The sequence below is a fragment of the Homo sapiens genome, chromosome 2, assembly GCF_000001405.40.
Source record: "Homo sapiens chromosome 2, GRCh38.p14 Primary Assembly".
In the NCBI taxonomy this organism is placed as follows: Eukaryota; Metazoa; Chordata; class Mammalia; order Primates; family Hominidae; genus Homo; species Homo sapiens.
The window spans coordinates 9,757,970-9,781,424 of record NC_000002.12 but is presented as its reverse complement, the minus strand read 5'-3'; the positions used below and the strand labels follow the sequence as shown (position 1 = coordinate 9,781,424).

The window sequence follows — 23,455 nt, the reverse complement described above, 5'->3', positions numbered from 1 at the left end:
TGATGGAGACATATTCTGGGGCTGCCTGAGTCATCTTCCGGGAACCCCATTTTCCTGGCGCCCAGTACTCCCTTTCCACACCTCCCAGCCGCCAACCAGGGGTTGGAAATCGGGAGTCTACAAGGGTCAGGCAGGGGACAAAACCAAGTGACATGGACTGGCTGGGGACAGTCGAGCTGGCTCCTCTAGCCGCTGGGCCCACACCCCATGTCTGCCTGTCCCTGCTTGGCCTGTGCGATGCCTGAGGCTAGAGGTCTGAGGTCTGAGATCTGCTGTCCCTTAGCCCTGTCAGGTTCAAGGTCCTTCCTTCTCACAGGAACCTCCTTCACTTTCACCAGTGCTATAGGAACCCCCTGAGGTCTGGCTGTGCCTCCCAACCCATCCTGGGCCCGGTCCATCTGTCCAGCAGCCTCTGTTACAAGGGCACGGCCCCTGTCCCCTCAGAACCTCCTAACTCCAGGTGGGATCACCTGGGAGCCAGGGAAGACCCGAGGCAGACAAACCCGGGTCATCCCTGCATCTAATCACCGACAGAGCAGAGCACTCTCATGCTAAAGCAGAAGGTCCCAGGCAAGCCTGGATGAGTGGTCACTCTAACTCTAGTCTTAGAATAAATACCTGTAAACAGCAGTTCAGGGACCAAAAGCCAGCCTGCCATGTCTTTTATATAGCCAGCTGCCTGAAAATGGTTGCTACATTTTTAAATAGTTGAAAAAAATCAAAACAGGAACGTTTCATAACGTGAAAGTTATATGAAGTGCAAATTCCAGGACCGATAAAGTTTTATTGAATCACAGCCATGTTCGCTCACTTTTGTGTTTCAACAGCAGTGTTGAGGAGTTGCAATCGAGACCACAAGCCTGCTGACCACAAACCCACTGACCTAAAAGATTCCCTACCCAGCCCTCAGCAGAAACATGTGCCAACCCCTAAAAGTTCTCTGTGCTCTGAAAAGTGAACTTTCAGTCTCAAAGTGAAGACCTTTTACTTGGCACAGGGTAGAAACCTCACCTCCTTCTCTGAAGCCATGAACTCATTCCTCACTTTGGAGATGGGAGGCTGCAAAGAAACACGATTTGAAAGCAAATTGCAAATCCATCTTGTTAATGTCTTCAGCATATTGTAGCCATTATACAGACAGGCAAACAAAAACCACGCAAGCTGAATAAAACCGTCTGTGGCCAAATGCGGCTCGCGAGTCCCTAGCACGCAGACTCTGGGCTTCATGAGCTTCTCCGGCTTCTCCTCCTGACTCCAGGGCTCTGCCAGCTGGAGCCAATGCCTCTTCCTGCCTCAGCTTCCCCGGCTCTCTAGCATCCTGCTCAGGCCACACACGCCTCCTCACCAGCCTGCCTTTGAGAGCAACTGTGGCCTGGAGGGAGGCGTGGCCTTGGGGCCACAGGTTTAAGTTCTGCACCAGCTGCAGCTTACTAGAACGGGGCTTTGGGCTCCAGCAGGTACCCATAGGGGTGGCTTCCTGGCCCAGCAATTCCCTCTCCTAGCCATCACAGGCAGAGGCAGGCTGGGTCTGGATTTCCCTTTCCAGTGAGTTTGGGATCCAGGTTCATGGAGCCTGGGACTTGCATGGAGCCTCCACCAGGCAGGTGCCCTGAGAGAAGGGCAGGAACTTCTTGCTTCACTGATCCACCCAGAGCCTCCGTGTTTCCTGCTTCCTGTGAGTGGTCGCTCAGCACTTTGATCCTGTGAGCTGGGACAGTATCTTTTCATACATTTTCTGGGTTTTTTGTGGGTTTTTTTTTTTTGCTAAAGCTGATGTCTGTTTCTCGCTACTCTAACAACACTTAACACATATAATAATAGTCGGATACATACTTGTATCAATTTCCTATTGCTGCTGTCACAGTTACCACAAATTTCATGGTTTTAAGCCACTAATTTGTTATTTTGCAAGACACATTTACTATCTTATAGTTCTGGAGGTCAGAAGTCCGCAGCAGGTCTCCCCGGGCAACAACTGGGGCACCAGCAGGCCATCTTCCTTCCGGAGACTCTGCGGGGAGGCTGGTTCCTTGCCTTTTCCCACTTCTGAGGTTGCCCCGGTCCTTGGCTCATGGCCCTCCCTCCATCTTCAAAGCCGTTTCTTATAGCCATCGTCAACCCCCACCACCCCACCCCATGCCACTCCCTGAATCCAGGCAGATTCTGTAGTTGCTCTGGCCAGTGAGAGGCAGCCAAGAGAAGGCGGGTGGTGGCCGGGCCGGGCCTCGGGAGGCCAGCAGCTTCCACTACCTCCTCTCGTGCTCTCTGGGAGCCCTGATCCACTCCAGGAGGAGGCCAGTCGTCTTGCACTGTCAGGGACATCATTTTCAAACAAACAATAGATGTGTATCAGGGCTCGTGCCCAGACTTTTTTACTATGTGTGCTATAGTGTGGCCCCTCTGGGGGAGACTGGAAGGGAAAGGAGGTTGGTAGTGAGGGGATTGGCAGAGGGTGAGCTAATGAACTCTGTCCTCCTCATAAAAATGAGCCTGCTATGGCTTCTGAGCAGCAGGGAGCTAATGGCTGTGGCTGGGCAGAAGGTCGCTTAGGAGGGTGGGCTGCGTGGACAGGAAGGGAGTGAGGCCGACAGCAGCAGGGAAGCCAGGCAGGGGCTTCAGCGGGTGCTGTCTGGGATTTGGAGACATCTGTAGGGAGGAGGCTGGGAACAGCAGTGCTTGTTCCCGAGGGTCTGTGATTCTGATATTCTGTGATGCTAAACACCGTGTCTCCATAGTGCTCTGATCTGGTGATTTGCAGAACCTCTCGCCCAGCAATTCTCAAATCCTCTGATTCATGCAGTGCTGACCCAGCCCATTTGGTTCCTGCCAACCCCTGGCCGGCCCACGACTTCCCCAAGAAGCTGAGGAAAGGCTCCATTTTTATTTATTTTCTTTTTCTATTCAGTCAGGCAGGTGTTAGGGGGAGCCCTACCTTCCACCCAGGATGCCCAGATCGGGAGGATCCAGGTCAGGAAGGTCTGGAGGTAGGTTGGAGTAACTGGGAGTGTTTGCCCGTGTGGGTGACCGTGTGTGTCCATGTGTGACTGTGTGTGTCCATGTGTGCTTGCATGGGCCCATGTGTGCCCCGAGTGTGCCCAAGTGGGCCTGTGTATGCCCATGTTGTGCCCACATGAGCTCGTGTGCCCCGAATGTGCCCATGTGTGCCTTTGTATGCCTGTGTGTGTGCCCACGTGAGCCTGTGTGTGCCTGCATGTGCCCATGTGTGCCCATGTGTGCCCATGTGTGCCCGCATGTGCCTGTGCACCCATGGGCTGAGTGAACTGCCGACTCCTGCCGAGGTGGAGAGGAGAGCTCCACCTTGAGGAGAGGAGCTGGCAGTGCTGCCTGGCCTGGGACTGTCAGCCACTTCTTCAGCCTCATGCCCTGGAATGGCTTGCCTGAGACTGTGGTCTCACATTAGGACCCTCTAGAGACTGAGCACGTGGAGTGGAAACTTGGAGTGCCTTTCCTTAAGCCACAAGCCATATGCCATAGTTACCCACTGAGTGTCATCATCTCCACAGTTGACAAAAGGCATGAGGGACATGGGAGACAAGCAGGGTGGCCTTGGATTAGTAAGACAGGGAGCGGTGGGTGAGGGAGAGGTAATGCCAGGGAGCAGGGCCACTAAGGACAGAGCTGAGGGCACGGACAGGGCCAAAGGCAAGGCCAAGGACAGGGCCAAGGGCAGAGCCAAGGACAAGGACAAGGACATAGTCAAGGGCAGGGCCAAGACAGGGACAGAGCCAAGGGCAGGGACAGGACCAAAGGCAAAGCCAAGGACAGGGCCAAGGGCAGAGTCAAGGACAAGACCAAGGGCAGGGTGCATTTAAAAGGGGAGGAAACATTCAGCAGAAGCTGGGGCCTTTTGAAGGTAAATTGTAAAGGGACTCAGGTAGACCTGGCTTAATTCTGCCCCATACCTGACTCTGGGTTACCTCTGCCAGTCCTCACCCTCTGTAGGGCTCCATGTCCCCACTTAGAAGTGAGAAGCCTGAATCAGGGGACTTCTGAAGGCCCTGCTGACTCTCCTGATCCCTGGTCCCCCGAGGTGGGGTCTCCTCCTCCGCCACCCTCTCAGCACCAGCTCCCGGGGGGACGCCCTGCCATGCCAGGGCATTGTGAGGTCCAGACAGGAAACAGGCAGAGCCTTCGCCCTGTGCCTGGGATACTTGCTGCCAGCTGCTGGGGCTCTTTCCAGGCCTTGGGTGACCCTCTCTGCCCTGCCAGCCTCCTTGCAAGGGGAGGCTACTTCTGAGATGGTCCTAGGAGAGGAGGAGGTAGCGTGGGAGGGGTGCCATGCCCACCTCCACTCAGAGCCCTCTTCTGGCTGCTCCTTGGCCCACCTTGGGGGGTTGGCGAGCTCTTCTGAGAAGGAGATACTGTGGGTGACAACCATGGCCGTTGTTGGTTATGAGAGGTGGGGGTATGATGCAGCATCCATCCATCTGTCTATCCATCCATCCATCCATCCATCCATCCATCCATCCACCCACCCACCCATCCATCCACCCATCCATCCATCCACCCACCCACCCATCCATCCACCCATTCATCCATCCATCCATGCATTCAGCATTTATTAAGTACCTATGGTGTCTATAGAGAGCATAGCACCCTCCGTGGATGAGTCTACACCCTTATCCTGCCTGTTATTCTTCTTTGAGTCGTCGTTCATCTGTCCACTGTGTCCCCCATTAGAATATTCACTTATACAGGCTTTGTCTTTTTTGATAAATGCCTAAAGTCAGGCCTGGCGCTTTTTTTATGACTAACACGTAAGTGTACATTTTTAAGCCTGGCATTTAATAGATGCTCAAATGTATTTCTTCCATGTACAAATTTAACCCTCCTCCCCTCAGTACTCCTGGGAATTAAACTCAATTATAGATAAGGAACCAGGCTCGGAGAGGCAAAGTGCTTGCTCACGTTTCACAGCCACAGTGTGGTGGCAGGAGAAGCCAGGTTTCCAGATCTGGGCCTCACCCTTTCCACCACTCCACACTTCATGGCCAGGGCAGGGGGGGCAGAGTCACCTCTGGCTGGCTGTGAGGTGGGCTTCCTGGAGCAGGGGCCGTGGACAGGTGGTTGAAGGGTGCTGCTCCCCAGCTGGGAAGGAGTGGGGAGGACAGCCAGGCTGAGGGGACATCTCTAGCCAAGGCTGGGGGGCAGGATGGTGTATCTGGCCTCCAGGAGGGAGGAGGGAGGCAGTGCAAGATCCAACCAAGCCCTGCCAGCCTTCCCCGGAGCCACGAGCAGTCCTCAGTCCCTGCCGTTATGCACTGAGTCTGACTTGTCCCTGTGAAAGTAACCAACAGCAAGACCTGTCCCCAAACACCTTGGGCTTAAAATGCTTTATCCCAGGCTGCTGTGCCCAGGAGCACCTCTACTGTGCAACGGGGAGCCCCTCCAACCCCCTGCAGGCCCAGAGGAAGGGCTGGTTCAGCCAGGCCTGGGGGTCGGCAGGTCTGGGCTCCCCGCTTGCTCTATCCCAACCTGCTGTGTAGGCTGAACTTTCCCCTTCTCTCCCTGGAGCTCAGAGTCCCCATGGATCATCAGCATGGCTTCTGCAGCCCTTCGTTGCCGTGGAACTCTAGTGGCCTCACCCAAAGCTGACACCCCTGTGGCATTTCATGGCATCCGAGGCGTTTTTCACATTTGACACTGGCCCTCTGACCATCCCAATGGCTCCATGAAAGGGGCTGGCTGAGGTTAGAGATCTCCCTACCTCAGGTGAGGAAACGGAGGTTTGAGGGAGACAAAGTCATTGCCCCACGTGTCTGGGTTGGTCCATGGCAGGTCCTTGTCTGGAACTCTCACTTGTCCCATGGCAGTGAGGACTCATCCCACAGTGGAGAGCAGGCAGAATGGCGACACGTTCCGTTTCCTGAGACCCCGACCAGGACCCACCTCTGAGGTCCTGTTGTGCCCCCTCCCCGAGGGACTCATCCTGGCCAAGGAAGAGAAAGGAAAAAGGACACCCCCAAAATACATTGCAAATGATGTCCCCCTTTCTCTTATCTAAACCTCACCTTTCTGTTTGGGCCGACTCACTCACAGGCGGCCTGCAGGCTTCCGGACAGAAGTGGCTGAAGCCAGCCCTCAGGTCCACTCTGTCTGGCACCGGGGAAGAACACGGAGGGTGACTTACAATCTGACCTCATTTTTAGGAGACACTTTTCTTTTTCTCTTTTCTTTTCTTTTTTTTTTTTTTTTTGGAGACGGAGTCTTGCTCTATCGCCCAAGCTGGAGTGCAGTGGTGTGATCTCAGCTCACTGCAACCTCTGCTCACTCGGCTCACTGCAATTCTCCTGCCTCAGCCTCCCAAGTAGCTGGGATTACATGTGTGCGCCACCATGCCCGGCTAATTTTTTTGTATTTTAGTAGAGACGGGGTTTCACCATCTTGGCCAGGCTGGTCTTGAACTCCTGAGCTCAGGCAATCTGCCTGCCTTGGGGTCCCAAGAGATTTTTCTTTTTAACCCAGTGAAGATGATTGTGCCTGGAGCTAGGTATTGGGGCATGCTGGGTGTGGGGTTGGCATCTTGGTTTGGGGGCTTTTTAGACGCTAGGACAGCAAGCTTGGTCTCTTCTGGGGCCAGGTGGGAACTTGCTGTCTCTGCCTAGGTGAGCTCAGGTGCTGTCCCCACAGCAAACCTGCAAAGCCCCATTTTTCCTGAAGGAGAAAACTCAAGTTCAGAAGGGAAAAGTCAGTTGTCTGAAGATACACAGCTAACACGTGGAAACTGGGATCCCAAGCAGTCCTGTGTAGACGTCCTTCTGCCATCCCCACTCCTGCTGCCGTAGTCACTGCCTTTAAGGACCACAGAGATGAGCCCTGGGACCGGAGTCACGGGCAGGAGAGTGGATCTCGGGGACTGGAACTGCAGACTCTGCCCCTCAGTCCAGGCCCAGGCTCTCAGAATGACGTGTTCTCCCGGGAGAAGTGGGACGGCCTCCGCGTGAGCTCCCTCCTTCCTGCTCCAACTGCTCCTTAGCCTTTTGGTAGAAGTCAGAGTCCTCGGGAAGCTTTCCTGGGGCCAGGCCAGTTGCCTCTGCAGTGGCTTCTGCGGGTAGAGATGGGATGACCACATCTTGCCTCCTGGGGAATGACCCCTGAGCCTCTCTTATGGGTTGAATTGTGTCTCCCAATTCCCATGTTGACATTCTAACCCCCTGGAAGTCCGAATGTGACTGTATTTGGAAACAGGGTCATTGCAGATGTGATTTGTGAAGATGAGGCCACTCTGGAGTAGGGTGGGCCCTTACCCACTATGACCTATGACCAGTGTCCTTATTTTTATAGGACATTTGGACACAGACACAGGCCATGTGAGCATGAAGGCAGAGACTGGGAGATGCATCTAGAAGCCAAGGAACGTGGAAGATGGCCAGCAAACTGCCAGACACAGAGGGAGAGGCCTGGAGCAGTCTCCCTTATAGCCCCAGGAGGAACCAACCCTGTTTGCACGTTGCTGTTGGACTTCTGGCCTCCAGAACTGGGAGACAACACGTTTTGGTGGCTTAAGCCACCAACGATATTCATGCAGCCCCTGTGGAGGTCAAGGGATTTGTTCCAGAGCTCTGGGCAAGTCACTTTGCTTTTTGAGGCTTCCTAGCCTGTAAAGTGGGGAGTGGCAGCTGTCTGCAGCTGTCAAGATCAAATGAGGTAAAGAAGTCTGAAGAGAGGGGAGGCGGAGACGCTGACCTCCATTTCTGCCCTGCTTCTGCCACTCCCTAGCTCATGGCCACTTGCCCGCTACTTAATAATAGTAGTTACCTCCCAGGATGGTTTGGGACCAGCGGCGTTATTTGATAGAAATCACCTGGAGAGCAGCAGCGCTCCCCAGAGTTTTGCAGTTCTTGTTCATGACAGAGCCCAGCGGAGGGTCCAAGCGTGAGGGAGGAACGTCAAGGGCAGTGTGGCGGGTGCAGGAGCTGGAGGGGGCTTGGGGTTTGGTGGTTGACCTTCGACCTTCTCCAACAGAGATGCAAATGTTACAGATGGGGTCTGGGGACAGCCAAGTGGGGAGAGGTGGACTGGAGTTGAGTGTGCTCTGGTTTGGAAGTGAGACCTTGACTTGTGGTGGCCTCACCCTGTTTGGGTGACATCTCTGTTCAGAGCTAAGCCCCAGGGACACATGGCAAGGAAGACAGATGGGAGTGGTGGCAGTCGGGAGCCTCGGCGAGATTCTATCTGGTGCTGGGCTGGAGCCGGGGAATGGGACCTTCTTCTGACAGCTCTCTGGCTGCTTCCGATGGAAAAGAAGCTGATCTGTGCGATGCGGGCTTGGTAAGATACCGAGGAACAAGGGGCGGGAATGCTGCAGAGCACGGTGGGGAGGGAGAGCCCCTGACTGGCTGTGTTTTGGGGAACTGATCCAGATTTTCAAAGCCACAAGATCACCCCAACGGCAAGGAGTAGGCTGGTGTGTCCCAGCTTTCCCTCCCCAGCCCTTTCTTCTCACACCTCTTGGCGATTTGGTTTTCTTTCCTTTCTCTAAGGCCTGTCTTTGAAAGATGGAAATGTCCATAAGTTGGGGGTCTACGGTGTGTCCGGTCTGGGGACAGAGATGGGACCCCCCAGAGACACCGAATGCAGGATTCTTTCGACATCTCCAAGAGGTGCTGCTGTAAGACCCCCGTGTGCCCGGGAGGAAAGAGAAGCTGGTGGACTTGGGGAACCACCCGAGTCTTGTGGGAACAGCGGTGCGCTGACCACCCATCTGAGGGCTAGGTGCAGACTGGCCTAAGGCAGGGGGGAGGCTCCAGGATGACGGTCACTTGTCATTTCTCCGTCGGAGGCTCGGGGCTTGCGGCCTCTGCTTCACAGCTGCTGCCACAAGCAGGACGCTTCAGAGGCCCAGGCCCTACCTCTGCGCCCACCTGCCACTTTCAAAAGAAATCTAGAGTGAAAGGAAGAGAGTTTCTATTTTTGATGAGACACCAGTGAAATGGAGGCTTTTTAAATAATTAAAATCCAGAATACATTATTTATTCAGGTCGGATATGAAGCTGCCTTTCCTTTTAGGAACATCAGCCCCACCCGCACATTGTCACTCATTTCCTTGTACCCTGGCAAGTCATTCACCCTATCTGGACCTCAGTGCTCTCCTCTGTAAAATGGGTGGAACACCAGGCAGGGGGTTGGGCTCTAAGGGCTTCCAGGGTCTAGAGCAGCCCAAAGACCCAGCCAAAGCGGGCCTCCTCCAGGAAGCCCTCCCACCTTCCCTTTGTGCTTCTGCAGCACTCTGCCATCCCCTGTCAAAGCTCTCACCACCTCCATGGCTTCACGCTTACACACCTGTCTTCCCACCAGAGTCTGAGCTCCTTGAGTTCTGGGACCGAGTTGGATGAATTTCCACATCCCCAGGCCCAGCACAGGGTGGGGCGTAGAGTCTCAGTGATTGTTGAATGAATGAATGAATGAATGAATGAGGCTCCAGTGTTTGAGCGAATGTGGCTTCTTCACCCTGCTGGGAGGCCTGGGTTTGGGAAGCTTCCCCTAAGTGTAGCTGGCCACTCATCCCTGGGAATTCTGAGATGATTTTCCCTCTGAGGACTCAGCTGGGGAGGGAAGACATAGGTTACCATGGCAACAGATTTTTTTTTTCCTGCCGGAGCAAACATTTCTACAGAAACCTCAAGAGATGCCAGCCAGTGCGGGGCGCTGCCTGTTTCTCCCACGCCCTCCCTGGCCTCTGAGCCCAGAGCTGGCCCTTCTCACTGGGTTTCTCAAAGCTGCCCACTGTAAGGCTGTGCCTGAGACCTAGGTCAGCCTTGGCCTCACATCCCCCGCCCCGTGCAGGCCCTCCCACCGGTCTGTTCACAGCCCAGGCTGTCAGCAGTGGGGGAGCCAGGCCCAGAGAGGGGAGCCATAGGGTGCCCTCTCCCAGCCCAGACAGGCTTCCTCTGCCATCCACCAGTGCCCTCCACCTCAAACCCAGGTGACAGCGCCTTCTTCCCCCTCCCCCATTCACAGGGCCCCGGGAGGCTACCAGGGGGCCACCTAGAGGAGCTGGGAGGGGTGGGGGTCCTCTGGAGAGGGGCAAGGTCTCTGAGCTCAGATCCTGCCAGCTCAGACCCATGGACCTCGGGTCCTGCTGGATCCCGTCTGGGACCCTGGGGTGGGAGGCCCCAGGAACAAAACTCAGAGAGGCCTTGTGACTTTCCCCAGGACACACAGCGAGTGAGGGAGGAGGCAGGAGTTGAGCCCCGGTTTCTCTGGAGACAAGGCCCAGCCTCTGCCTCCTGTCCTGCCAGGCTAGACTCCACCTTCCACTGCCTGGAAACAGGGGACAGATGGCCCCTTCTGGAAGCACTGGGGGTGCAGAGTGCCTCGCGAGCACTGAAGGTGTTGAGGGTCTGGCTCATGCCCTGCACTGCCCGTGTGTGGACTGCAGCGTGGAAACAGTGCTCAGAGAGGCTCCGTGGCCTTGCCCCAGCTCGCAAGTGGTGGCGTAGGACGCCGATGTCAGTGCTGTCGGGCTCTGTGACACTGTGCTATCTGTCCACGCCCCTGGACCGTCTTATTGAAGACAGGCAAGGAGGAGAGAACAGGGAAGGCGGAGGGGTGAGTGGCTGGTGGGACCACAGCCCAGGCCAGGGCCGGGGCAGGGAGCAGGGGAGGGCCTTTGACACCAGGCAGCTCCCTCCCAGAGGCCATAGGCACATGGAAGGGTGAGGCCGGGAGAAGCAGTTGAGCTCAGTGGCCCAAAGCAGGGACTCTGGGACCTGCCAGACAAGAGTCAAATCCCAGCTCCACCTCTTCCCAGGGTTCGTTTGCACTTGGGACAGCTGTTTCTTTCTGATCACAGCTTTCTCACTTGTAAAATGGGGAGAGCATTCAGTGGCTCCACCTGGCGGTGTATGAGGATGAATGAGACGGATGCATTTGAGGGCTGCTCTGGGGGAGGCCGCTGCTCTTTCGTGATTTGAATCCCATGCAGTCCCTGGGCTCCTCTGCCGCTCTTGCCTCTCTGTATCCCGGTACTTGGCCCTTAGCAGGCACTCCCAGGAGCTGCTGGAACAGGCTGAGTCCTGGCGCTTATCCGAGCTGTCTTGTTTGCACGTGCTCGTCTCCCACCCACTCACTGGTGAGCTCCGCAAGAGTGTACTTCTCTCCGTCCCTGGAGCGCCACGGCGTGCTGGTGCATAGTAAGCATCTGTCCATGTCTGTCCAGTTGAATTTCTTGAGAGTCATTTGACCTTCTCAGCAGCTCTGGAGGTAGGTCGATCAGGGTTCCTCATCCCATTTCACAGATGTGAAGACCCAGGTTGAGATTCACTGGGCAGGTTGCTCATGGTCCCAGAGTTGGTCGACAGGGACAGGCATCCTGATTTACTGTTTGACTCCCAGTCCTCTGTGATTCCCATTCCACTAGGCTGCAAAGGAGGGACCAGTGGAAAAGAAAGAGAGGTCAGGTGATGCCAGGAGGTGGGGAGAATCAGCTAGACCCTCCTCAGCCGTTTTCCTAAAACCAGCCACGATCCTTAGCTCCCCGCCTCTGCTTGCCCTCCCTGATAGCTTTGCCTTGGCTGTGAGCTCAGCACAGTTGCTGGTGGGGGACAGGAGTGGGAGTGAGTGGCACTGATGGGGGAGGCAGAGGCCCCATAGTCTGTGCTCCCAGCCAAGACCACAAATTCATGACCATTCCAGAGCTCCTCAGCTTCACCCCCACCTCAAGAGCCCCCCCGCTCCCATCCTGGAGCCTCCAGCACTGCCCAGTCCCTCCTGAGATCTGTGGATCTGCGGGCTCAGCAGCCGCCCACACGGAGCTCGCCTGCAGTGCTGCCTCTCTGGCTGTCATCTCCATGGCAACGCCCACCACCCCCGCTCAGGGCCACTGTGCTCTGCGCACCTGAGCCTGACCTTCCTTTCCAGCTGCCCATTTGAGTGCGGGGGGGACACCCACGCACCTGCTCAGGCCAAGACTCAGAGCCCACTCACATGCCTGCCCCCACCCACAGGTCAGAGTGGCAGCATGTGGGCATACACAGGTGTGTGTGGGGGGGGGCATGGGTGTTAAACACACCAACACCTCATTCGAGTCCTTGAGCTTCTGTGAGAGTCTCTGGCACCTGGGGGCCGCCAGCGATGACTAAATGTGTGTGGTATCTGTGTCCCCGGTATGGGTTTGCTTTTGTCAGTGTGCCTGTGCCTCTTGGGGCCTGTGGTGCTTCCTGAGTGTCTGTCTGTATCCCTGGCAGAGTGGCGGAGGCACGGGGGCACCTCCCTGTGTTTGTCAGAGAGGCGGGATGGCAGCCCCTTTTTTTCCACTTCCCCAACGACAGGAACATGACCTGGCTTTGGCCCACTTTCTAGGGACATCCAGGCCCAGCAGTGGCTGAAGGAGACGACTTGGGAGCCATCTTTGCTGGGCTCTCCTCAGGGCAAACAGCTCACCAAGGGCACAATGAGCTTTGGCCCTGGGATCCACGGCATTTTCTCCCAAGGCGCTACCCTGATTCCATTTTCCTAATCAACGAAGGGGAGCCACAGAGGGCCACGGGCAGCACTACAGGGTGCAAGAAGCGTCGTCTCATTCTGTTAACAGCTGGCCGTGCCCCCTTGCACGGGACACAGCTTCCCTGCCTGGTAATGATTCCTTATGAACTCCAGTTCCGACTGTCCAGAAGTCCATCAAATGGTGATTGGCTAAATACTCAGTTCTTTTGACACGAGCCGCCTCCTCTCATCCTCATAATGGCCTCAGCCTCGTGGGCTGTCTCATTCTCCCCAGCTGAGAAGGAGGGAGCCGAAGTGCTGAGGAGTGAGGCCGCAGGGGACGCTGTGGAGACAGGATTCAGCTCCCAAGCCTTTGCTCTTCTCCTGCCTGCTCCCTCCAGCGCTCTGCTCACCTGCCTCTCGGGCCAGATTGGGCCCTCTGTGCTGGCTGCTGCCGCCCAGCCAAACCCCTCCCAATCGCCCTCAGCCACCAAGGCCAGGTGTTGGGGCAGGGAGGGGTGAGCAGTGGCGAAGGGCACCAGCTGCTGTGCTGGGAGGCCCCTGCTTGCCCTTTGCTACCGACAGGGCTTGAGATCAAGGGGAAAGTATCAGAAGGGAAAGGCAAAAGGCAGGCAAAGCTGTCCGGCTCCTCCTGGCTGGTGGGGAATGATGCATTGAGTTCTGAGATCAAGGGCTTCATTAGGGATCAGGCCAGGCATGTAGGACAACATAAGACCAAGGTCCTCAGAGTTGGATTCAAGGAGGTGGGAAAGAGAAGGAGGGGAGCCCCGGCTGACAGGTACAGGGACTGGGGTTCAGAGGCCGGCTCTCCTGTTCCACGAGGAGCACAAGGTGTGTGTATTCACGCATGCGTTCACACAAAAAGGGGAACTCGTCAAGTCCAACTCACTCACAGATACCCTCTGCAATGTCAGAACAATAACCGAGGCACGACCTTGCGTCGAGAGCTCAGGGTGGGAGGGACCGATCCTTCCCTAGGGGATGGGGGAGCCACAGACCAGGGAGGTCAGAAGAGGAGGGAGCACGCGAGCTACTTGTGGACGTGGTGGGGGACCTGGAGGGTCCACACACCGGGGCAGAGAGCTCCAGGCTGAAGGACGGCACAAGCAGAGGCAGGGGGCTGACAGAGCTGAGGCAGGTGGGTGAGAGGGGACCTGGCTCTGAAGCACAAGCAGAGCTTCTCAGATCTCGGGGACCTTCCTGACTCAGCAGAGTTGGGGGGCCTGAGCCTCTGCATTTCTAACAGGCTCTCAGGTGATGCTGATGTGCTGGTTTAGGGACCACACTTTGAGCTGCAAGGGTGTGGGCTGAGATGTCAGACTGTCTGGGTTTGAATTTGGATCTGTCCCCTGTTGTCTGTGCTAGTGGGCAAGTGATGACCTCCTCCTCCTGCCTGAGTTCCCTCACTTATAATATGCAGATAATCATAATAATAATGCTTACTTCAAGGGGGTGATTGTGGGGACGAAGAGGCAAATACAGTTGACTTTTGAACAACAGCGGGGATTAGGGGACACTGGCCCCCACCCCCATGGAGTTGAATATCCATGTGAAGGCTGGCGCAGTGGTTCACACCTGTAATCCCAGCACTTTGGGAGGCTGAGGTGAGAGGATCACTTGAGCCCAGGAGTTGAAGACCAGCCTAGGCAACATAGGGAGACCCTGTCTCTACAAACAGTAGAATAAAAACACTCTGGTATGGTGGCATGCGCCTGTAGTTCCAGCTTCTCAGGAGGTTGAGGTGAGAGAATTGCTTGAGCCCAGAAGGTCGAGGCTGCAGGGGGCCATGATTATGCCACTGCTCTCCAGCCCGGGTGACAGAGGGAGACCCTGTCTCAAAAAAAAAAAAAATCCATATATAACCTTAGACTCCCCCGAAAGTTAACTAATAGCCTACTGTTGACTACAAACCTTACTGATAACATAAACAGTTGATTAATACATACTTTATACAGTATATATAATATATATACACCGTATTCTTACAATACAGTAAGTTAGAGAGGAGAAAATGTTATTAAGAAAATCATCAGGAAGAGAAAACATGCTCACCATTCATTAAGGGGAAGTAGATTCATCTTTGCTGTGTTCATATTGAGTAGGCTGAGGAGGGGGAGGAAGAGGAGGGGTTGGTCTTGCTGTCTCAGGGGTGGCAGAGGCAGAAGAGGTAGAGGAGATGGGAGGGGAGGCAGGGAGGGGAGGCAGGAAGGGCGAGTGTATAGTATAACATTGATGGAGAAAAATCTGTGCATAAGTGGACCCGTATTGTTCAAGGGTCAACTGTGTATGTAAAAACACTCAGATCAGGGCTTGAGAAATGTGTTATTGTTCTAAAACGCTAGGCTGAAGAAGACCTGCTTTTTGGCTGAGGAATGGGTCACTGTTGAGTTTTAAGCAGGGCAGTGATGCAAGCAAAGTCTCCTTTAAAAGAATGTCTGTGGACAGTGTTGGGAACCGAGTGGGAGGTGGGGGACAAGCCTGGGAGGTGTGAACAAGTCAGGGCCCTGCTCCAGGAGCGGGAGGAAGCAACAAGCCTGGGCCACGGGGGCAGGGCTGGTGGAGTACAGACACTGCTGGCTCAGCTCTAACTGGAGTGGGCCCAGGGCTGGCCGGCCGCTCTGCACCCTATAGGGAACCTTCTGGGCTGGGGAGGGAGCCCCCGCCTGCGGGGCTGCTGCTGCGTGGTCACTGTGCTGACATGCCCAGCCTGGGGGCAGGTTTCTGCGGCTTGCTGGGCCCTGCACCATTTCCCAGTCCTCAGCCTCCTGGGCCTGCAGCCTCAGGTCGGCCCAGCTCAACTCTCCTGCCAGGAGCTTCCCCGACTTCCTCAGAAGAGAAGAAATCTTCCTCTGAGGTGCCCTGGTGTGTGAGCGTGTGTGCATGTGGGTGTGTAGAGGCAGGTGTGTGTGTACAGATGTGAGGGTATGTGCACACATAAGCATATGTACATGTGTGAGGGTGTATACGTGTGTGAGGATGTGCACACACGTAACAGTACACACCCTTACACATGCACACACAAGGCCCCCGTGTGCCCCAGCTGCCGGCCCATATTCACTCTTTGAGGAGAGGCTCTGTAGTGTTCAGACTTAATTTCTAGGAAATTACTTCCCTGTCTGCCTGTGGACTTTGAATTGAGAGATTCCAGTTCGCCAGGCAAGCCCAGCATGTGACCCTCTGCAAGGCAACAGCCCCTGTGTCCTTTAGGGGGTGCACTTACTCATATGTCCTCCCGCCCCCTCTAGGTTCCCACCAGAGGTAGGGACAGTCAGGGAGGGCCACATACTCTTGGCAGGCCACTGTGGGCACTGCCCTTCACTCAGAGAAAGCTTCCTTTGCTGCTTCCATTGGGGTGATTTCCTAAATGAGGGACTGCTTGGGAGGAGGAGTTCAAGGCAAACGTTCTACTCCTGGGATTTCTGAAACATCTGTTAGAGGGTCACTTCTCAGTCTACAGAAGATAGGGAAAATGCCACTTCACACCAACCCCAGAACCATGGGCTGGGGTTGGATGTGTCCAACCACCTCTGTTCAGGAGGTTCACCTACCCAACGTGCGGCCACCCAGCCTCTGCTAAAACTCCTGCCTGTTGGCTGCCTCTTCCCAGGAAACCCCATCCACTAGCAGATACCTGCTAGAAAAAAACTTGCCAAAATTTGCATTCAGGCATCTTTCATTTGTTTGTCCTAGTTCTGACCTTGGTTCTCCACACCCTATATGACAAATGTGTCTTTCTGCCAAATCTTCTTCCCTTCTTCTGCCAAAATTTATCTAATTCTTTCAGCCCTTGAGTGTAGAGCCTGATTTTACTGTCCAGGGGACTTCTTCAGGCATCCTACTGTTTGCTGAGGTCACACCAAAACTGTCACCCTCCAAATGTGGTCTTTCCCCCAATTTGGGGCTTGATTCTTCTGCAGCCTGTTGACTCTGTTGAACTTTGAGTCAACTGGAGACCAAGACTGCAGATCTTCTGTCTGCTGGCTTCACTGGGACCTTCTCAGCTGCAATGAACACAGATGCCAGGCTGAGGGATTGTATTCTCATGATATGGACTTTCTGAATAAGGGGGCAGAAATGTGACTGGGCTTCAGGAACAAATGAAGCAGGGTTCTAGTTGCCTCTCTTTTCTCTTGCTTTTCTCTGCACCTTCCTTCTCGCTGAGTCTGTCTCCCAGCCAGCCTCCTCCACTTCGGGGTCACAAGACAAAACACAGCCACAGTGTCTCCGTAGCTGATGTGCTATGCTCAAGCCACCTGGAGACGCCTGGAATCTGTAAGCCCCAATTCCAAAATCATCAGGAAGGTTCTCTGGCCCAGTTCGGGTCTCTTGCCCACCTTGCACCAATGAGCCACCTGCTGTGGTTGTGGCTGCTGAGTAAAACTGGGAGAAACACGCTCATCTGTGCAAACCCAAACAATGGACTCAGAGGACAAAGAACAGCAAAAGTGAGACTTTTAATAGAGGTCTTGCAAGATCGGGTGGCCAGTAGGCAGGCACATCTGGGGCAGCTACAGCAGGTAATTTATCTCCTAGCACACAAGTCCCTCCCCCAGTTCCTCATGGTTGAGTACTGTGGGGTGACAATCTTCCTGGATGTTGCCTAAGTGCCATTATCCCCCTTATAAGGTTATACCCTGTCCTCTTCCCCTCTTAAGTTTCAATTTCCCAATAATAGAACTTTCTTCCCTTTTATGGGCTGACCCCTCTTCTACATTCTGTTTGTTTATCAAGACCTTCCAGGTGCATGAGCTGTGCCATTTGTTACATTCACGGGCTGGCTGCCAGTGCTTAGATTTATCATGCCTTGAAAGTGGACCATTTAAAATGTTTTCTGACAAAACCCTATGCAGACAGGGGTAGGTAAGAAGAAGCTTCCAGGGAAGCATTGCTGGGCAATCTTGAATCTTGATTACTTTGTCCAAACAATGTATTACCCTTTCCAGTTCTGTGTCTTTTGCCAATTTGTTGAGTGGTCTGCATGCTACACCTTCATCTTGGCTATCAGCAAAAATGTTGAATAGAACAGAGTTGAGGAGAGATCTTCTACCCCTCACTTAACATTTCCTACCAGGGGGACATGTGTCTGCTAAGTAAACCATTTGATAATGATTAGTCAGACTACAGAGCCCTGCTTAGCTGGCGATAATACAGCCATAATGACACAGGGCAGTGTGGAAATGACGTGGCACTATGGAAAATGCTTAGCATGTAGCAACGGAAAAAAGTGGCATACAAAATTAAATCATGAATATACAGGGGAAAAAAGAGAGGCTAGAAATATTTTTAAAAGACAGGTAACATGAACTATATTTAGGTAGCACAGCAGGCAGAATTCTGAAAGAGGGCTGCTTATGGGTTTTGGCCAGCCTGGATGAGATAACCTTGACTCCAGCTGGCAGGACGAGCCGCCTGTGCAGAGATCTGTCTCTTACAGCACCTGCAGGGATTCGCTGGGAATAACTGCACGCAAGCCCAGGAGGAGGCATAGGTAGAGTTAACATGGCCATGAATGTGTACAAGGTGCTAGGAATGGAATAGAGTGAGTTTGGTTATTAATTCCTGCAATTCCCTTCCAAAGCACCAAAGGCAAGGCAGCCAGTGTGGTAAAGGGAGTATTTTCCATCCTGTCTGCAGCCCTGTGCTGCTCAGCCAAATCTCGCTGACCCCTTCCCTGGGGTGTTTCATTCTCCTCATGTCCAGGGCCCTAGCGAGCCCACAGGGTCTGTCTGTGTGACTTAGAGAAGGATGCCCCTTCTGGACAGACGCAACACCATGGGCACACAGTGTGGTGAGCGGCAGGCATGCTGGAATCTAGCCCTCGCTCACCTTTCAGCTGGATGTCCTTGCACAGTGGACAACATGCACAACCGTATGTGCTGGCCCTGCCCATGTACCACACGATCTGCTCAGAAAACCTGGAAAATGCCTGATCCTGGCACAAAGCACAGCCCTTTAGTCCCAGTTCTTCGCCAGGTGATTTCCTCCAGGCCTTAGTCTTCCCGGACAAGGCCTTAGGCTTTAACAGTGGGGAAGGCCTTCTGGTGCTGCAGCCCCTGGGCGACTGCTCTCTGGGGTGAGGGCCCAGCCAGCAAGCCCATGACCATAGGACTGAGGACATCCCTTCCCCTGTACCCACCTTAGTCACCTCCCACCCGGCACTAGTGGGTCCTCACCAATTTTATTTGAATTGAGCCTAGTTCATTCTGGAGGTTGAGACTAAACATCCTTATTGAGCAGGTGTCTTGGAGACCCCCGAAGGCCACAGGCTTATTTTTGCCCCAAGAGTGCAGTAAGATCCTAAAATTGAAGTGATCTTTCTTGCCCTCCTAGACTGACTAAAAGTCCTGGTGGAGACAGGCTGAGGAGTCCTGCACTTACGTCTGAATGTTCTGTTAGTTGGGTTTTCACATTCAGAGTACACTGTGGAGATAATCACCTTCTAGCTTTCTGGAAACTTCCTAGGTTTACTCCCTGGTGCATTGCTCCTCCAAGTTATAATTCTAGAAACTCATTCCTTTGCCTTTGGCAATAATAACCCAGATCCCGGGACTCCAAATGGAAAAGAACAGGCTGCATTTCCAGACTTCTGGTGTGGAGGGGGAAGCCAGACAGAATCATTCTGGCTGTGAGCTGCAGCGGTGCTGTCCATGCCAGGCCAAATGCATCAATCCCTAATGATGACTTGAAGCGTTATTAGGATCCAGGTGACCTCGTCATCACAATCCTCTCTGAGCGGTAAAACTGGAAAAAAAAAATAAGGCAGATTGTGCTTGGGACTAGGGAGCCCCTGAGACGAGTTACACCCAGCACTTCCAATGTCTGGGAGCCCCCAGGAAGCACCCTTTGGAGAAAGCGTAAGTCAGTTCCCTAAAAGGAACTAAAGATGTGTTCCATCCCACTGTGCAAACCAAATTAATGCTGCATGCTGAAGGCCTTCCTTGCCAAGATAGAGGTGGATTTCTATTAGTCACTGAGGGCCATTTGCCTGGATGCAAATGGCCTTGCTGAGCTGGTGCGATGTCCAGCTGGGGGTTTTGGGGAGCAGTCAGCCCCGTGCATGTGTATTTAATAGTCATCAGGGCTTTCTCTTTTGGCTTCGAGGCTAAGCTTATTATCCAAGGAACAAATGGAATATGAAGGCTGCCTCAGCACCGCCAGAGCCCATTAGGAGATGTGCTATGAAGCAAAGGCGGCGCGTTGACAGGGCTGCAGAGAAAGAACTTGGAAGCAGAGGCAGGAAAGGGAGGGCGGCTTCCGTCCCAGCATCCCTGAAATGGCTTGCTGTGAGTTCAGCAAGCCACACTGACACCACGCACCTTCCCCGTGCCTGGAGCTCATCTGCAAACAGATTATCTTGCAGACAGAACCTCCAAAGGGCCCTGTCATCCTACAGCACATCGTCATTCTCACTCAGAAGCAGGGGACGTGGGGCCTTTTGTCTAACACTCAACAACATAAACGTCTGTTTTCTGTTTTTCTCCCCTCTACTCTTTAGACAATAAACAAGAACCATCTGACATTTTTCTTAGCTTGTATATTTCAAACTCAATCCACCTTAAGCATCCTACCTGACCCTCCCCAACCCTCCTTCCCTCCCGTGTTCTCTTTCCCTTTGGAGTCCTTACAAACTCTCCCTCTAGTTCGATGGTTCAGAGAAGACTGAGAGCTGGGCCTGGGCCTTGAAAACTTCCCAGTGGTTTTCTACTGCACTCACACCCTCAGGCACCTGGTGGGGTAGATCCCACCTTTTCGATGTCCCCTTCTCTCCACCGCGGCCACCTACTCAGACCACTTGCGCTTTGCACCTGGAGCATGACAGTAGTCTCCTAACTGTCCCTGACCACAAGCCACACCCTCTGCCATCTTTCCTCTGTTTGCTGCCAGAATGATGTTTCTGAAATACACAAGAGACCTTGTGGCTATCTTTCTCCCTCCCTCTCTCTACCCCTGCTTTCCTCCCGCCTCTACCCTCCTCTACTCCCTCTTTCTACCCCTGCTTTCCTCCCGCCTCTACCCTCCTCTAGTCCTTCTTTCTACCCCTGCTTTCCTCCCGCCTCTACCCTCCTCTACTTTCTAAGCATCTGCTATGACCAGCCATTGTTCTAGGTTTACAGATCTACAGGGTGGGGCAAGAAGACATCATATCCTCTGTCTTTTGGAGATCATAGAAACATTTGCTCTGGGGAAATGCTAAGTAGCAACCTACACCATTAATTGTTTAAAAACGACTGTGACTCAGTGCCAGGAAGAAGACTTTGTAAAAGGTAATGTGAAAATGTTTTCCCTGCTCAGAATCTTCCAGTGGGATGAACATGATGTGTCAATGCAAGCTTATTATTGTAACAAATGTACAACTCTGGTGGGGGCAGGGGCTCTATGGGAACTCTCTGTACCTTCTGCTCAATTTTGCTGTAAACCTAAAACTGCTCTTTATAAAAGGTCTTCTTTTTTTAAGTCTCCCAGTGGCTCAGCATACAAAACCCATGACAGAGGGCTGGGCTGAGCTTTTCCCACATCCACTGTGTTCCCTAAGGTCCGTCTCCGCAAACCACTCCTTGTTTGAGTACCCAATGCTCCCGTGCCCCAGTTCCTTCAACAGCCTCTCTCTACTTCCTGCATCTTCTTTTCCTTCCCTTGGCTACCTTCTCCTTTGAGAAACTCAGATGTCACCTCCTCCAAGAAGCCCTCCCTGATATAACCAGGCTGGATTAGGTGCCTCCCCTCTGTGCTCCCAGACCTCCCTCTGCCTGTCACTGTCATTGCATCACCTTGTAACTGTACATATCTGCCACTGCCACCAACTCCCACTGAACTAAGAGTGCCCTTAAATAGGGACAAACAGAATCTTTTAGCATAGTTACTGAAACACATGTAGGCTTCAGTAAATGAATGGATGCAAAATAAAGCTAATAGTATCTGGTTAGAAAAATAGATATCTTTGAGTTTTTACTAAAGTTCTAGGGATTGCAAGAATGAGCTTCCTGCCTACCTTTGCCTCTAACAGCAATGCTGCAGTTGAACCTGACAACCTGTTACCATGATGTAGAGAAGCCAATGCAACAGAAGAGAGTAATGTTTAATCTAGTCTTTGTGACTTGGCTCTCGTATCACTAAAAATTGTATTTGTGATAAGTAAATAAGAGTCATTAAACATCAAATGCAATTTAAGTGCTCCGGAAGGCATGCTCCTGGGTTTCAAAACCTCTGTGGATGTAAAGAACCCCCTAGAATAGGAGTTGGACAGTCCTGGGCTCCTGGTCAACTCCCACACTCAGTCCTTAAGGTGGAGGTCACATTGTGCTCCCTCACAGGTGGTCCAATGAGACCATGTGGGTGGAAGCACTTTGTAAACATAGGGGCTCAACAAATGCTAAATGTCACTCATGAAATTGCATCCTAAAGCAAATAAATAAGCACACTTCTTTTGTCTAAATAGCTATGTGTAGCCTTGGAGTTCTGGCTAGGGAGTCACCCAACCCCTGGTTTTGCCCCTTGTGGCAACATCTGAGATGCTGGATACAAAGTTGGATACAAAGCAGGGTGGGGTCTGTTCTGTAAAGAGCTACAGGCAGCTGAGGGCTCAGAACGGTGGACACTGTTGGAGAGACCAGAGAGGTGAAGTGAGGAGACTCCCTTCCTTCTTTCTTTCTTTTCCAGAACCCACATTGACCAGAGACTTTGCAGCCAGCTCACCCCTCCAAATCCCCGCCCTGGAGTCCCTGACCCAGGAATTTCTGCATCAGGCTGCTCAAACCTGAATTTGACAAAATTTCAAAGCGCTGTATCTTTATGTTGATAAGACAACGGATAAAGTGCCATACTTGGAACCTAGATCACTCAATGTTGCCTGTAGCTGAGTCCACTTCTGTCACTCACCCTGCATTGCCCTGCCAGGAGCAAGGGAGAGAAAGCCAGCCAGAAGGCATGGGCATGGGCTCAAATCTGGCTTCTCCTGTGGCCACTGTGAAAGTTGATCATACAAAGGTCACTGTTGTCATAGCCAAGCAGAGTTATGAGACCACAGGAAAAAGCACTTGGACCACGTAACATTGCTCCAAGAGTATAACTGTCTCCAACCCTGGCTGCTGGAACAAGTGTTGCAACCTGAAACCGGTTTGATCTAATAGCTACAGAAACAACCTGCGGAAATCTAAGACTAGTTTCACCCACTCACCAATCAGAGCTTGCCGGATCCCCAAAACGTTGCTAGTGCTAATGAACTTGCTTTCCTAACAATCCATAACATTTCTCATTTTTATGAAACCTACAACCTTCTCTTTGCTCTTTGGACATACTGAAGACCACCCAGTCTGTGTGTATGCCCCAAACTGAAATTCTTGCTCCCCAAATAAAACATTTTAAACTTAGAGATTTGTCTGTATATTTTATTTGACTTTGACAGCACCAGGGGCTCCGGCACAAATCTCCTCCTTCAAGCCCTTTTCTACACAGTCCCGTGGGTCTACCCTGAAAGAAGCCTGATGACGGCTCAAAGACACAATGTTACTGGGAGGTAAATTCAGGATTACTTGACCGAATGGCCCACCCGAGGTCACGGAGGCTGCTGGAGGAACAGAAAATGGTCTTCACCAAGTGAAGCATTGTCGGTCTTGGCCTGTGTCTGGCTGGAGAATGTTAAAATTCTGGGGACACAACAGAAAAGGCACAGTTGTGGGGACCAGGCCAATGTCAGCGTGAGAACTGGCTCCATCCCCCTCCCATGAACCAGCTCTGCGGCCAAGGCAGGTCTGCATTTCCTGGTCTGTGACACGGAGTCAGTAACATTGCCTACTTCCCGGGGCTATTTCCAGAGAAGTGAGGGAATGGGTGTGGAACGCCTGCCATCTGCGGAGCCCCGCATGAAACGTCTCTGTCTTTCCAGCCAGCCCTGAGCCAGGGAAGGGACTGGAAGCACAGCGGGTGGCTGAGGCGGGCTTTCGGCAGCTTACCCCCAGCCTTGCCCCTCCCCGCCTGCTGAAACACAATC

General features: G+C 53.2%; 1 long non-coding RNA gene across 1 annotated transcript, besides 8 other annotated features; it reads left to right on the top strand.

The window, feature by feature from the left end:
* Positions 1,433–22,835, top strand: LOC100996549 (uncharacterized). Its single transcript, XR_241267.4, has 3 exons — positions 1,433–2,984; positions 7,306–8,292; positions 22,126–22,835. It is a non-coding gene; the product is annotated as an uncharacterized LOC100996549 (long non-coding RNA).
* Positions 1,476–1,525: a silencer, noted in NCBI's record as "silent region_11143". NCBI's record gives its function as "represses an Ori minimal core promoter by ATAC-STARR-seq in GM12878 lymphoblastoid cells {active_cell/tissue: GM12878}" and the evidence as "EXISTENCE:reporter gene assay evidence [ECO:0000049][PMID:35858748]".
* Positions 1,556–1,695: a silencer, noted in NCBI's record as "silent region_11142". NCBI's record gives its function as "represses an Ori minimal core promoter by ATAC-STARR-seq in GM12878 lymphoblastoid cells {active_cell/tissue: GM12878}" and the evidence as "EXISTENCE:reporter gene assay evidence [ECO:0000049][PMID:35858748]".
* Positions 3,268–3,397: a silencer, noted in NCBI's record as "silent region_11141". NCBI's record gives its function as "represses an Ori minimal core promoter by ATAC-STARR-seq in GM12878 lymphoblastoid cells {active_cell/tissue: GM12878}" and the evidence as "EXISTENCE:reporter gene assay evidence [ECO:0000049][PMID:35858748]".
* Positions 9,381–10,308: an enhancer, noted in NCBI's record as "H3K27ac-H3K4me1 hESC enhancer chr2:9911246-9912173 (GRCh37/hg19 assembly coordinates)". NCBI's record gives its function as "activates a minimal SCP1, AML or CMV promoter by ChIP-STARR-seq in primed H9 embryonic stem cells {active_cell/tissue: H9 hESC(primed)}" and the evidence as "EXISTENCE:reporter gene assay evidence [ECO:0000049][PMID:30033119]".
* Positions 10,309–11,237: an enhancer, noted in NCBI's record as "H3K27ac-H3K4me1 hESC enhancer chr2:9910317-9911245 (GRCh37/hg19 assembly coordinates)". NCBI's record gives its function as "activates a minimal SCP1, AML or CMV promoter by ChIP-STARR-seq in naive and primed H9 embryonic stem cells {active_cell/tissue: H9 hESC(naive and primed)}" and the evidence as "EXISTENCE:reporter gene assay evidence [ECO:0000049][PMID:30033119]".
* Positions 11,940–12,049: a silencer, noted in NCBI's record as "silent region_11140". NCBI's record gives its function as "represses an Ori minimal core promoter by ATAC-STARR-seq in GM12878 lymphoblastoid cells {active_cell/tissue: GM12878}" and the evidence as "EXISTENCE:reporter gene assay evidence [ECO:0000049][PMID:35858748]".
* Positions 15,102–15,652: an enhancer, noted in NCBI's record as "H3K27ac-H3K4me1 hESC enhancer chr2:9905902-9906452 (GRCh37/hg19 assembly coordinates)". NCBI's record gives its function as "activates a minimal SCP1, AML or CMV promoter by ChIP-STARR-seq in naive H9 embryonic stem cells {active_cell/tissue: H9 hESC(naive)}" and the evidence as "EXISTENCE:reporter gene assay evidence [ECO:0000049][PMID:30033119]".
* Positions 17,471–17,765: an enhancer, noted in NCBI's record as "tiled region #12215; HepG2 Activating non-DNase unmatched - State 20:ReprD". NCBI's record gives its function as "activates a minimal TATA promoter and a strong SV40 promoter by Sharpr-MPRA in HepG2 cells {active_cell/tissue: HepG2}" and the evidence as "EXISTENCE:reporter gene assay evidence [ECO:0000049][PMID:27701403]".
* Positions 22,836–23,455: the final 620 nt, after the last annotated feature.